Source organism: Homo sapiens, chromosome 3, assembly GCF_000001405.40.
Source record: "Homo sapiens chromosome 3, GRCh38.p14 Primary Assembly".
NCBI lineage: Eukaryota > Metazoa > Chordata > Mammalia > Primates > Hominidae > Homo > Homo sapiens.
In genome coordinates, this window is record NC_000003.12 from 146,084,066 (window position 1) to 146,099,287 (window position 15,222).

The window sequence follows — 15,222 nt, forward strand, 5'->3', positions numbered from 1 at the left end:
AATCAAATTAAGAGAAAACAATGCAAATTCAAGAAAATAGTACTGAATTAAACTAGGTTTTAAGAGTTACAAATCATACACTATTTCATATCTCTAGGGTGTCACAACTGCTTTTCCTTGCCAAATGATCAAAACCTCATTCATATGCTTTGGAAAATTACCTACGATGTATATAGATAGTTAACTTAGATACTGAGTATCTATAACACAGCTATACAGTTGGGCTGTATATACAGGTTGCTACAGAGAGGTCTTAGATTTTTGAAGTAAGAACTAAATTCTCAAATTTACAAATTCTAGTGATATATATATATAGATAGATATTATATATAGGGTGGGTTAATAAAGCATACTACATTTCCCATGTATCTTACTTAACAAAATAAAAACAATCATTCTAACATTTCACCCGCTAAACATTCTATTTATTATGAGAAATAATTGTGTTAATACATGTACTTACAACAATACCTGGCACTTAATAAGCACTTGTTAAAGGTGAGGTCTTAGCAGGAGTAGTAAAAATGGTATTATTAGTATTAGCAGTAGTATTGACAAACAAACTTAGTATCATTGTAAGCTGATATACATGGTGTCTTTTTCCCATTTCAATTGAGTTAAATGAGCAAACAGACACTGTGAAGTGATAACTAGTTCAACAGTAAATAAAGCTACACATATGACTGTGGGATGATTTGTACCTCTGAAATTTCCTTCTGATACTAAGGACTACAACTCTGTATGCAATAACTATCTTGGTCAGAAGTTTTGTGAAATTCTACTTTAAAAATATCTATAGAGAATAAAACAACTCTAAATTTTAGTATCAGATGTATCATAATTTCACCTAGCTTTAAACAGAAAAATGGGCCAAGTAACTGTATTTGTGATTATAACTAATATTAAATAATTCCAGATGTATTCAGGTTGTTTTCTATGACTCCTTTAAATGAAAAATAATTAACTTGAATTGAAAGTTTATTAGCTGTAGAACATAACTAAGTTCCCTCAATTTACTAAATACACAATTACTACAGTATGTTCACATCAATATGAAAAATAATCATTTTAACAATAAATTGATATCGAATTTTAGAAAGTACCTGTTTTGTTCAATCAAAATTTTTAAAGTCCTTGGATTTGTCAAAACAACATCTGCATCCACACTAAAGTAATAATCACACTTTTCATCCTGACGGCAAAAGTCCCTAACAGTGAAAAAGAAAATGAAATGGGCATGACATAAAATAAATATCTGCTGACTGAAAAATGTTAATATATATATTCTTTTATGTAAAATATGGTTCTCTAGCATACTTTTCTGATCAAAATAGTGGAACAATATCTGAAACGATATATATATTGTCTTAAATTTCAAAATGGTCAATTTAACACGGATATTCACAGGGAGCTCACCTCTAAAATTTTAAGCCAGTTAAAATATATTTTCAAGCCAGTAAATATTTTAAGGCATAAAACATCCACAAATCAAAATGTTTCTGCATACATACATACATACATACACATGCACACAAATGCAACTTACATATCCCACAACTCAGTTTTAAATGAATGTTGGAGATGTAAGTATATGACTTTTCAGGTATTAATATTTTACAAACTTGATTTTCATCAAATTTTCTAAGATAGTTATTCCCCTGCCTTCTTACCAGGGGCAGTGACTATGTTTGCTTTCCCTGGTACAGTTTGTAACATTATCATCAGCAATATCAAGGAATGAACAACTGGAGATACCAGATGACATTTGGGTTATCAACTTCCCTCTGGGCTCCCCTCCCTCACTGTCGGTCCCAGTCAGCACTTTTTGCTGTTGTCAGTGTGTGTCTCCACACCATATTTGTTCGAAGCAACTATCAAACAAAATACCAGACAGAAGCACTAGGTACAATCATGAAAAATATTAAAGAAAATATGTTCTGAATGTGGACCCAGAGGATTCTCCAATGAATAAATTATGGAATCATTAGTAATAACATCAGTTTGGTTTTTCAGAGGCCTCTTTTCTGTCTATCCCTAGACCCCTAATCTAGTCAGAATCCATCCCTCTGGGACCTCAGCTTCTGCAGCACAGGCATGAGGGTTCGTAGTAGATAAGATTATTTCCTGATGAGAATGGATCATGTCTTCACCTTTTTATCACCTACTCTTAACACAGTTCCTGGCATATTCAATTAATATTCATTGAATACACGATTTTTTTTACTATTACTAGAGTTTTATTAGTAGAATGAAGCATTAACAGGGCTAAACAAAAGGCCTACAATGCCCGTTTCTTGGGATTACAGTATTATCTAGCTCAGTGACTAACTGGAGAGTAAGAGCACCTGTTTCCCCCACAGTCTAAATAAACACACTTTTACCACACACAACCTTCAGAGTGTACATTTAAATTTAAGTCACTGCTATGAAAGTCATACTATTCATTTATCTGCATTTAAAAAAAATTGATCTTACCTTGATTCATCATTTGATTAAATATGTGGACTCGTAGCCATTAAAAGAAAAACATAAGTAACTTCTACAGCCCTTTATGTATAAATACGTACAAACATAGACACAGTCTAAGTTGGCTACTGCATACGCAAACAAATAGTTTGAGACACCCAAATTTGGCATAACAATTTTAATTTAAAAGTTTATTTTTTCTTAACGTTTCCTTAGTAAAATAATTTAATTTAATTTTAATTTATTAAAACATACATTCCCATGTTTCTGGCTTCCGCTTGACTTAGATTTTCTTCTGGTCCTACTATTTTTATAGTTTTGATTTCATGCTTAGCTTTATCAAAAAATACCTTGATGTCCTTTTCATGATAAACTTCCTGTAACATATTTTAAAAATCAAAAATTAGAGAATAAGACAATCAGATGACTGAAGTATTCATATTAGAGAGTGCTTCACATTCAAGGTCATGAATTCTACAATTCAGATATTCAATTACATATAAAATAATAACCATATTAAACACGGTATATTTAAATATCACTTAAATGTCACATGAATAATCTTAAATACATATATATCAATATTCTTAAAGAGAAGATGCTTCAAAATTCTGTCAATATCTACTGCTAGACAAGTCTTTGTATAAATACTTAAATCTTTAATAGGTGTTTGCATAAATACTTAAATCCTTAGTAATATAAAATGTTTCCAACTGGAGAAGAAAAACACGGCCTGTAGCCTAGAAATCTTAGATATATGTTGTGAAATATCTAGAAAAAATGTCTACTAAGCATAATAGCCATCAATCTGAGTTATAAACTTAAATAATCACATTTTACAAAATACCCTTTGAAACCAGAGAGTAAAATAAATGGTCATATATAAAAAAATTTTACTTAACAAAAAAAGGAAAAATTTAACAAAATTCTATGGACAGATTAATGGGAAAACCATCAACATAAAGGTTACCAATTTTAGTGTGATTCGACTGTGCTAAAATTCAGGTAAGATTATCTGTCTCCATCATTAGAGCATTTCAGAGATTTTTATTTGTCAAGTCTCTAAGTTTTCTGAAAAGCTGTTGCTTTTTGCAGATTTTTAAAATAACTTATCACATAAAAGCAACATAGAGTTAATACTAAATAACCAAAGATAAGACAAAAACGTCCGCCATCAAGGATTTTAAGGCCCCATGAAAGCAGGGAAAATATAAACAAAAGACAATACATAAAAACAAAATACTTTAGTGAAAGTATATATATTACAACATATTTTACAAAGCAAATGCTCAATTTTTCACCATTTTAAATCCATTTAAGCTAGTTTTCTGCAGTTAAAATATTCTCTGGACAATGTGAATGGTTAGCTGACATTTACATTAGGAAAAAGGAACAATGGTAAACAAACAGTATTAGGACAGAAGAGAGAAAATCGCACACTTCACAGCTATTGAGTTTTTCTAGACAATGTTAAATACCAGTGGTTTTAGTAGACAAGAAATAACTGTAAAAATACTGAGGAAAAATATTTTCAAGTTTGGATAATATGTAGGAGGTATGTAGGGGGCTCTGAATATTTTTGAAGAAAATGACAGTATCAAAATCCTTTGGGGAATGGCATGCCCTTGTGTAATTAATCAAAACAGTACTCTATCTGGAAACTGTTTCAAGTTCTTATATGTTATTGTCTTAAATCACAAACAATTTAATGACCAATTCTATAGAAGAAAGTACCAGAACTAACCCAAAGGCAAAGGGATTTAAGGCCCTTTGAATCTCCTTGATTATATATTAATTTAAGCTATATGATGATGGCTAATATTCAGCCATTTTTGATCTACAGAAACTGGCAGTTTCATGTGGCTCATATCAATATTGTGGTGCTAGTCTCTAGAATCTAAAATCCTTAGGTCCTAAAAAGGCAGGGCTGTAATTACTCCAAAAATCCTCCACTGAACTTAACCCAATGAATTTTATTTGACATAAATAACAAATAGTTCCAAAAAAGACCAAAAATAGTTTTGACATAAAATATTCATTTCTCAAATACTTACTTTGTTATGAATAAAAAGTTTAAGTGCTTCTTTTGGGTAATCCAGTGTCAACAATATGTCCAGAAACCGAGGTAGAAAAGGGGTTGGTTGCTCAATAAAAACACCTATTGATACGTTTGGATGGACCTTTGTTTTACACCAAACATAAAAATAAAATTATCATTAGTATGGTTTTGTTTTAAATTTTATTCAAATGTTAATCAGCATGACATAAAAAATACTAGAATATCAATTCAACATAATCTGCTAAATTTGAATTGCTCCATGGCAGTTCTCTAACACTTGAAACAAATTTTTGTGGCCCCCCCAATCAAAGTGATTTTACTGAATCCCATCTTGGTTATGAGTTAGGTTTAAAGATGAAATTATCCTATTTATTACATGAATGTAATTCATGGTACTGCCTACACTACTAGTCAGTGCTTCCTTTAAAATAGCCCTTGCAGAAACTTCTTCACATCTGAAAGCTATTTTGAAAGTTTCGTCTAAGAAACCAAATACTAATTGTGTTTCTCTTTTTGTTTCCTCGGCTTAAAGTTCAGGGCTTAATTTTGAGCACATAAAAAGCAATCATGGGAGACCTGAGACTTTATCCTTTTATTTCCTTTCATTATTATATTATGTATAAGGAGAGCTATTTTCTTTCATTAATGTTAATATATCTTATCTTAATGTATATATTTTAATATATTTTCTTAAGTTCTCTTTAGATATGTTTTGGTGTGGAGTTTATCCTTCATTAATTGCACAAACAATTCTGAAATAGCCATTATACATTCCAATCCACAAGATGGGCAATATTTGGCAAAAGGAATGAAAGTTCCTGGCTTGAAAGACTTACAAGTAGATGGGGAAGACAGGAACATAAGTAAACACCCATGTAACAGTGTCATGACCAGAAATCTATGGAAGACTTGTTTATAATGTCTTACTAAAGCCATGTCTTAAAGTCTGAACAAAAGAATTACAAATATTTTTAAATACCTTATACATTAAGTGCTGAATTAGCAACCTTCTTCCATTTTTTCATACACGGTACCTCACACATTACTCCATTATCTGTATAATAACATATGCTCACATAAAAGTACACCTTGTACACTATCATATTTCTTCATCTATTCATTCACTTGCCCAAATATTTATTATTAAATGAATAAACAAATACAAAGAACACAAAATATCTACTCTCCAGTAGTTCTCAATTTAATAGGAAAAATAATTTTAAAAGTAGGTCACAACTCTCCTTTATCAAATGAGATGATGCGTTTCATTTAATTTACATAAAAGCCTTAGAGGTTATTTTCCCAAATATGCACATGAGGAAAATGAGATTTAGAGAAATTTAAGTAACCCAGAACACATATATTTGAGGGTAAAGTGCTGGGTTTCAATCCACTACATCACCATTATTAACCTAAGTTCATGTTTATATAACAACAACATTATAACAGTTAACATTTATTGAATACTGACCACTTTGTGTATGTATATTAAATTTATACAAATAGAATATCATTTATATATTTGTTATGTATATTCATATATATATGTGGGTAAAATTTCATTTAACATTCCTACCAACACTCTGAGATAATCACTATGACTTTACATATAAAGAAACTTGCCTATGGCCCACATCTAACATTATGATAGGCTTGGGATTTAACTACCTACACAATTTTAATTTTTATATCCCTATTGAAAAACAGCTGTATATAGCACGTAATTTTATTATGCATAATGGAATGAATAGTTTTCCTTTCTATCACATTTTAACAAGCTGTAAGACAAAACAGCTTAAGTATTAAATTACATACTCCTACATGCAAAAAGAAAAAATGTTAATATAAATATTTTTCTATCTTTGCACCAGAAAGTTTATACAAAAGGAAACGAAACAGATAAAAAGTATTAACTCGCCCTCCAGAAGACAACACTACTTTCGGCAAAAAAAGATCAGGATAAATTTTTAAACATCTTCATGATGCAGCTTCATTCAGAAATATTCTGGCATTCTTTGCAGATAGGAAACAGTTTGCTATCTGAGAGACTGGCCAAAAACCTTACTTTCAAGTAAAATAGGGCTCTATTCATAAGCTCCTACATGTACACAAGTTACTCTTTATACTCCTTTCAGACAATGATAAGAATAGAAACTATTTAATTCAGGAGCTTGAACATATTACAGTAAAAGTATTTTGCATTTGCATGGGTTCAGGAGTTAGTAGTACTATATTCCTAAGAGCTTTATTTTTGCCTATATTGCTTCTACGTTTCTGGCTGCTGTAGATACTCAATGAACTTACAGTGAATGAAGGAAAAAATCAGTCTTAATGACAAAACTCCCTAGAATCAATGCTTCATACATATAATCTTCCATGTTATGTCAGCAATTTTTTGGAATAAAAATGTTGTTGTAAGATATCAGCTCTGGCTGATGTTAGAACAAAGATACATAAAAATGTTTTATAGATTAATAATGAATATTTTCAACTCTTTGTTCACCCTCAAAACATGAATGATAAAATATAACTATCTATGAAATACATACAAGTAGCAACATGCCTAGAATATACACATCACACAGGTAAAAATGCACAGTGTCAAGAACATACAGTAGTCTGGAGCCAGACTCCCTATATTCAAATCCCAACTCCAACACTTAAAATTGTGTGCCCTTAAACACGTTACTTACATTTATGCACCTCAGTTTTCTCGTCTGTAAAACTGAGTCAATTGTACTACCTATTTTAGGAGTTTTGTGAAGTTTAAATGAGTTATTATATGTAAAGTAGTTAAAACAGTCGTTTGTTATATAATCAGGTAGTATTAATTTTTACATATCAACTTTGAAAATCCAGCACAGATAAAATTAGTCAATAAAAATGCTGAAGCCTTGTAATGATTTTTTCTCAATGCTTTGACTAAGCTAACAGAATAAACACAAGAGCACTCAATCGTAGTAAGCTATTAAATATTAACCACAGGACTCTTTCATTAGGTTCAATTATTAGCTGGTTTTTCTGTCAAAAAACAGTTCTGAAACACAAATCTAGCAAATGGCTGAATCATCATGTTTTAACACTATATCCCCATTATCTATCATAAAATCAAAACTATAAAATAATTTGCCTTTTTTCCTATAAATCACAGTATTTCATGACAATGTACTTTCTATTACTACATTTCACACATAATCAATTCCACTTACATCTACTGCAGACAAGTCGACTGTATCGAATTCACAAAGAGTGCAGCCATTATCCTGTGTCCATGAATTGGGTACATAGTTTCCAAAATAATTCAGGAGAATCTTGTAAATGAAGGAAAAGGTTATTAATGAAAGCAGGCCTCTCATCGGTGTGGTTTCATTCTATAATCATCTAATTTAAAAGCATGTTTTCTGCAGCAGGTATATTCCTTTAGTAATTCTACTAATATATCATCTGTAGGTGCACACTGAATAGTCTTCTCCAGAATATGAATTGTAAAGCAGGACAAAGTATGTCTAGAAATGTCAAAAAAAAAGTCTTATAAATCATAAAGGTCATTTTATTTCATATTATATTAGATATAATACCGGAAAGGATGATCAAAAAAGAAAAAGCAAACAATGAAATAGAGTTTTAAATGGGATAGTGAGACTTATTAGGAAAAATACAAATAAGAGTCACATGAATAGTAATTTAGTAATAAGATAAACCTGTTTAAAGGCTGAGCACAGACACCTACAGTAAATGGGGCAGTAGTAATGTGACCTCTAACTAACACAACGCCACACAAAATAAATACTAAGTAAGCTTTGTCACCAAAAGACACTAAGCTCTTCCAGGAAACTATGCTACTATAAGCTAAGCTTCTGGGCAGTGATTCAGGGGTACTGATTCAGGAAAAGAGAGCTTGCAGATCAAAACAGATCTAGGGCAACCACTAATAACAGTCATCTGACAAATCCTAGTGACAGTAAGCTAAAGTACAATATTATTTCTCTACCCATTTTCTTTCAGATCTCTCTGAGTATCCCCTTTGTGAGGTATCTGTTCTTAAACAGCTATTGGTATTCATTTTAACTGTAAAAAAAAAATTCTGTGCTCTTCTGTGTGTTTTGGGGAGGGGTGGTGTGAAGGAAGAAGGATAGGTGACAGAGGTAGACACACTTAGATTTGCTCTGAACCCTCAAACAAAATTTTTAATATCCCTAGAATTTGAACATGTTAGGGAAGATCCTGCTGAGTAAACAGCAAGTGAAATTACTACATCTTCTGCAATTTTAATACCCAGTAGTGGTATGAGCATTCATATTAATAGGCTTTTTAAATTTTCTTTCCACAAACTATAATTTTGCCTCATGCTATTTAAAAGCACCTAAAATCCCTATTATCATTATATGATCAATAATTTTTCATTGGAAAGGTAAAATGAAATCAAAAGAAAAAAGTCCATGTTAAACATGGGGATCAAAAAATGTACCAAAGTGTCAACTAGAGTTTTCTAGCTTCTTAAAGTCCTAAAGGGGATGTTAAAGTGTGGAATACATGAAGTAGTTGGGTACCATTTTGCCAGATTCCTCTCAAATATTTGGGATCCTGTTCAAATATTCTTATTGTACTGAAACACTGAAACAAACACTGCTGAAACAAGAACTTTAAAATGGGAAAAACTTTGTGTTGTACAGATATTATAGATATAGCTACATTTAATCTCTACAGCAAAATTAGAAGACATGGACAAGTAAGCCATTCACATTTCTTCTGGACTACAGGATAATTCAGGAAACAAATTACAAGGCAGGAAAGATGTAGTCATGATATTAACGACATTTCAAGAGTCAATGTGGTCATTTTAATGTGTCTTGATAATAAAAACAGAAATAAATATTTTACTGTTGTCAAATGACAAAGGCAAACATTAATCATTTGTGTTCTACAAAATATGGTTTTGAAGGAAAAATATCTATGTGGAAATGTATCCCCTATTTAGCATTATTTCTTAAAAAGATAAAGAATATGCAAGGGTGAAAAGCATAGTTTTATTTAAAATATCCTGAGAAAAAGTTTTTTTAAAAGACAGAAAAAATTTCCCAAATATTTGGCCATGTCTAAAATCTCTATTATATATAAAGACTGGTATTTCCACCATCTCAGAAATCTTATTAAAAATGTAAAATTTATTTCATGAGTTATTGATCAGTCTACTAGAATCCCTATATGAATATTAAAATGATCACTAGTTTTAAAATGTTAGAGCATAAAAGACAGCACTTTTAGTTTTCGGAATTAAACTTGTCACTTTCCTACCCTCTGCTTTTTATCTCAATTTGTTTCCTAGATAACTAAGATATTTTAGAAACATTACTTTTGACTAGAAACTTCCCTCTTTTGGACCTCTCACCACACAGGCAGAGGTTATCCACCATCACCACCCCCCATTTACATCTGTTTTCCTCATGAAAACTAGAGACATTTTTGCTGGCAGCTCTAGACGGTGCAGAAGGCTGTTTATGCAGTTAGGCTGCTCTGGGCACTCCTGGGCTACTAGGTGATAGTATTTTCCTGATTCTTCTTTCACAATATCAAAATGTTTCCAAGTATGATGTCATTTTCATTGACAGAGAAACTTTTCCGCCCAAATCCTTTCCTCTTTCTTCCTTTTAAAAATCATATCCAATTATTCAAGGTCACAGTGACCCAAGTACTACAGCTTTTATGCACAAAATTCACATCTCTATTTTTATTACAAATCAAATTAGTTTCAGAAATGAGTTATGTTCATGTGTAGATCAGGTGATTAGCTCTTCCCCTGTTTATCTTTTGTAATCAGTGTGCAAAAATTGCAAGCATTCCTATACACCAATAATAGACAGAGAGCCAAATTATGAGTGAACTTCCATTCACAACTGCTACAAAGAAAATAAAATACCTAGGAATACAACATACGAGGGACGTGAAGGATCTCTTCAAGGAGAATTACAAACCACTGCTCAAGGAAATAAGAGAGAACACAAACGAATGGAAAAACATTCCATGCTCATAATAACGTGAAAATGGCCAAACTGTCCAAAGTAATTTATAGATTCAATGTTATTCCCATCAAGCTACCATTGACTTTATTCACAAAACTAGAAAAAACTACTTTAAATTTCATATGGAACCAAAAAAGAGCCCGTATAGCCAAGACAATCCTAAGTAAAAAGAACAAAGCTGGAGGCATCATGCTACCTGACTTCAAACTATACTACAAGGCTAGAGTAACCAAAACAGCAAGGTACTGGTAACAAAACAGATATATAGACCAATGGAACAGAACAGAGGCCTCAGAAATAACACCACACATCTACAACCATCTGATCTTCGACAAACCTGACAAAAACAAGCAATGGGGAAAGGATTCCCTATTTAATATGTAGTGCTGGGAAAACTGGCTAGCCATATGCAGAAAACAGAAACTGGACCTCTTCCTCACACCTTATAAAAAATCAACTCAAGATGGATTAAAGGCAAACCTAAAACCTAAAACTATAAAAACCCTAGATGAAAACCTAGGCAATATCATTCAGGACACAGGCATGGGCAAAGACTTCACGACTAAAACACCAGAAACAATTGCAACAAAAGCCAAAATTGGCAAATGGGATCTAATTAAACTAAGGAACTTCTGCTCTGCAAAAGAAACCATCATCAGAGTGAACAGGCAACCTACAGAATGGGAAAAAAATTTTGCTATCTATCCATCCAATATCCAGAATCTACAAGGAACTTAAACAAATTTACAAGAAAAAAAAAAAAACCACTCCATCAAAAAGTGGTCGAAGGATATGAACAGATACTTCTCAAAAGAAGACATTTATGTGGCCAACAAACATGAAAAAAAAGCTCATCATCACTGGTCATCAGAGAAATGCAAATCAAAACCACAATGAGATACCATCTCATGCCAGTTAGAATGGCAATCGCTAAAGTCTGGAAATAACGGATGCTGGTGAGGATACGGAGAAATAGGAACGCTTTTACGCTGCTGGTGGGAGTGTAAATTATTTCAACCATTGTGGAAGAGAGTGTAGTGATTCCTCAAGGATCTAGAACCAGAAATACCATTTGACCCAGTAATCTCATTACAGGGTATATATCCAAAGGATTCTAAGTCATTCTACTATAAAGACATATGCACATGTATGTTTATTGCAGCACTATTTACAATAGCAAAGACTTGGAACCAACCCAAATGCCCATCAATGATAGACTGGATAAAGAAAATGTGGCATATACCCTCTCCCCTCTCCCCTCTCCCCTCTCCCCTCTCCCCTCTCCCCCCTCCCCCCTCTCCCTCCACAGTCTCCCTCTGATGCCGAGCCAAAGCTGGACGGTACTGCTGCCATCTCGGCTCACTGCAACCTCCCTGCCTGATTCTCCTGCCTCAGCCTGCCGAGTGCCTGCGATTGCAGGCGCGCGCCGCCACGCCTGACTGGTTTTCGTTTTTTTTTGGTGGAGACGGGGTTTCGCTGTGTTGGCCGGGCTGGTCTCCAGCTCCTAACTGCGAGTGATCCGCCAGCCTCGGCCTCCCGAGGTGCCGGGATTGCAGATGGAGTCTCGTTCACTCAGTGCTCAATGGTGCCCAGGCTGGAGTGCAGTGGCGTGATCTCGGCTCGCTACAACCACCTCCCAGCTGCCTGCCTTGGCCTCCCAAAAAGCCGAGATTGCAGCCTCTGCCCGGCCGCCACCCCGTCTGGGAAGTGAGGAGCGTCTCTGCTTGGCCACCCATCGTCTGGGATATGAGGAGCCCCTCTGCCTGGCTGCCCAGTCTGGAAAGTGAGGAGCGTCTCTGCCCGGCCGCCATCCCATCTAGGAAGCGAGGAGCGCCTCTTCCCCGCCGCCATCCCATCTAGGAAGTGAGGAGCGTCTCTGCCCGGCCGCCCATCGTCTGAGATGTGGGGAGCACCTCTGCCCCACCGCCCTGTCTGGGATGTGAGGAGCGCCTCTGCTGGGCCGCAACCCTGTCTGGGAGGTGAGGAGTGTCTCTGCCCGGCCGCTCCGTCTGAGAAGTGAGGAAACCCTCTGCCTGGCAACCGCCCCGTCTGAGAAGTGAGGAGCCCCTCCGTCCGGCAACCACCCTGTCTGGGAAGTGAGGAGCGTCTCCGCCCGGAAGCCACCCCGTCCGGGAGGGAGGTGGGGGGGGTCAGCCCCCCGCCCAGCCAGCCACCCCGTCCGGGAGGTGAGGGGCTCCTCTGCCCGGCCGCCCCTACTGGGAAGTGAGGAGCCCCTCTGCCCGGCCAGCTGCCCCGTCCGGGAGGGAGGTGGGGGGGGGGAGTCGGCCAGCCGCCCCGTCCAGGAGGTGAGGGGCGCCTCTGCCCGGCCGCCCCTACTGGGAAGTGAGGACCCCTCTGCCCGGCCAGCCGCCCCGGCCGGGAGGGAGGTGGGGGGGTCAGCCCCCCGCCCGGCCAGCCGCCCCGTCCGGGAGGTGAGGGGCTCCTCTGCCCGGCCGCCCCTACTGGGAAGTGAGGAGCCCCTCTGCCCGGCCAGTCGCCCTGTCCAGGAGGGAGGTGGGGGGGTCAGCCCCCCGCCCGGCCAGCCGCCCAGTCCGGGAGGGAGGTGGGGGGTCAGCCCCCCGCCCGGCCAGCCGCCCCATCCGGGAGGTGAGGGGCGCTTCTGCCGGGCCGCCCCTACTGGGAAGTGAGGAGCCCCTCTGCCCAGCCACGACCCCGTCTGGGAGGTGTGCCCAGCGGCTCATTGGGGATGGGCCATGATGACAATGGCGGTTTTGTGGAATAGAAAGGCGGGAAGGGTGGGGAAAAAATTGAGAAATCTGATGGTTGCCGGGTCTGTGTGGATAGAAGTAGACATGGGAGACTTTTCATTTTGTTCTGTACTAAGAAAAATTCTTCTGCCTTGGGATCCTGTTGATCTGTGACCTTATCCCCAACCCTGTGCTCTCTGAAACATGTGCTGTGTCCACTCAGGGTTAAATGGATTAAGGGCGGTGCAAGATGTGCTTTGTTAAACAGATGCTTGAAGGCAGCATGCTCGTTAAGAGTCATCACCACTCCCTAATCTTAAGTACCCAGGGACACAAACACTGCGGAAGGCCGCAGGGTCCTCTGCCTAGGAAAACCAGAGACCTTTGTTCACTTGTTTATCTGCTGACCTTCCCTCCACTATTGTCCTATGACCCTGCCAAATCCCCCTCTGCGAGAAACACCCAAGAATGATCAATAAAAAAAAAATAATAATAATAATAATAATAAAAAAAGAAAATGTGGCATATATACACCATGAAATACTATGCAGCCATGAAAAAGAATGAGTTCATGTCCTTTGCAGAGACAAGGATGAAGCTGGAAACCATCATCCTCACCAAACTAACACAGAAACGGGAAACAAACACTGCATGTTCTCACTCATAAGTGGGAGCTGAACAATGAGAACTCGTGGACACAGGGAGGGGAACATCACACACTGGAGCCTGTTGAGGGGTGGAGGGAAAGGGGAGGGAGGGCATTAGGACAAATACATAATGCATGCAGAGTTAAAAACCTAGATGACGGATTGACAGGTGCAGCAAACCACCACAGCACATGCATACCTATGTACAACAAACCTGCACGTTCAGCACATGTATCCAAGAACTTAAAGTAAAATTTTAAAAAGCTACCAAATTCATAATTAAGATGTATATTGTTTGATATTTAAAAGAAAAGGCTGAACATTAAAATATGCATCTTATACATTACTAACAATAAATGGGTTTCAAGAAAAAGTAAACCTTCAAATTAGAAACCAGTTTCTATCTAAAAATTGATTCATATTAGATTTATACAGACCAAGTATGAAAATAATTATTTAAAATACCTAAATATGTTTTAAATAAAATGTTAATTAAGAAACACAAAATTGTTTATATACTACTATGAAAACAAAGGAAAATATAAATGTTCATAGATATATACTGAGGAGACATAAAAACTGAAAACAGCTATGAATTAAAACCATATGGGAGGGCAGTATAAATGATTTTTAAAATTACTTAAAATTGTTAATATTTTTTCCAATGGCATAAAATTTGGAGAAAGTAGGAAATAAGCTCATTTTTTATACTTTAGTATCATCAACATACTATAATCACTTCACCACTTATAGATTATATACATTTTTAATGAAAAAACTGCTTAAATGTTTAGTTCAATATTATGGCTCAAAACCACTATCATTATAAACATCCATTACTAAACAAAATAATAAGTAAAACTAACTTACAAAAAATCATACCAAAAAATCCTTCCACCTTTTATAAAGGTTAAAAAATGTTTGTAATAATCAGCCTTCTTTCCCCATCAGCCTGGATAAGAAGAATACGTGACATACTCATTTGAATTTATTTAACTTTAACCTAATATTATAAAGTATTAGTGTTAAATGTTTACATATTCAAATTTTCTCGAGTTTTTGTATTATACCAAATATAATATCTATAATAAAACTTCATATTTTATTGTCTAATAGAATAACAAAATGAACTAGATATGATAATATCAGAGAAAACATAATAGGAGCATCACATAGCTTGAAATGCCAGAAACAGTGATAGTGCAAACTGAAAATGTTTCCAAGAAGACTTAATATTTCTTAGTACACCTAGGTCTTTCTAAATGATTAAGGATTAGTGCTCCTTTTCTTGTGATATGTCCTTTAGTCACTTTTTAAAGCTC

At 35.9% G+C, this 15,222-nt stretch overlaps 1 protein-coding gene across 5 annotated transcripts in view, besides 1 other annotated feature; it reads right to left on the reverse strand.

Annotated features, from left to right (window-relative positions):
- Positions 1 to 15,222, reverse strand: part of PLOD2 (procollagen-lysine,2-oxoglutarate 5-dioxygenase 2) — a 91,745-nt gene that overhangs the window by 14,626 nt on the left and 61,897 nt on the right. For all 5 annotated transcript variants that reach the window (NM_000935.3, NM_182943.3, XM_047448319.1 and 2 more), the window contains 4 exons: positions 7,735 to 7,836; positions 4,521 to 4,646; positions 2,722 to 2,843; positions 1,104 to 1,208 (listed from right to left, as the gene is read on the reverse strand). In NM_000935.3, coding sequence (NP_000926.2) covers positions 1,104 to 1,208; positions 2,722 to 2,843; positions 4,521 to 4,646; positions 7,735 to 7,836 — 455 coding nt within the window. The remainder of the gene's footprint in view (positions 1 to 1,103; positions 1,209 to 2,721; positions 2,844 to 4,520; positions 4,647 to 7,734; positions 7,837 to 15,222) is intronic.
- Positions 13,277 to 13,826: an enhancer, noted in NCBI's record as "OCT4-NANOG-H3K27ac hESC enhancer chr3:145815129-145815678 (GRCh37/hg19 assembly coordinates)". NCBI's record gives its function as "activates a minimal SCP1, AML or CMV promoter by ChIP-STARR-seq in primed H9 embryonic stem cells {active_cell/tissue: H9 hESC(primed)}" and the evidence as "EXISTENCE:reporter gene assay evidence [ECO:0000049][PMID:30033119]".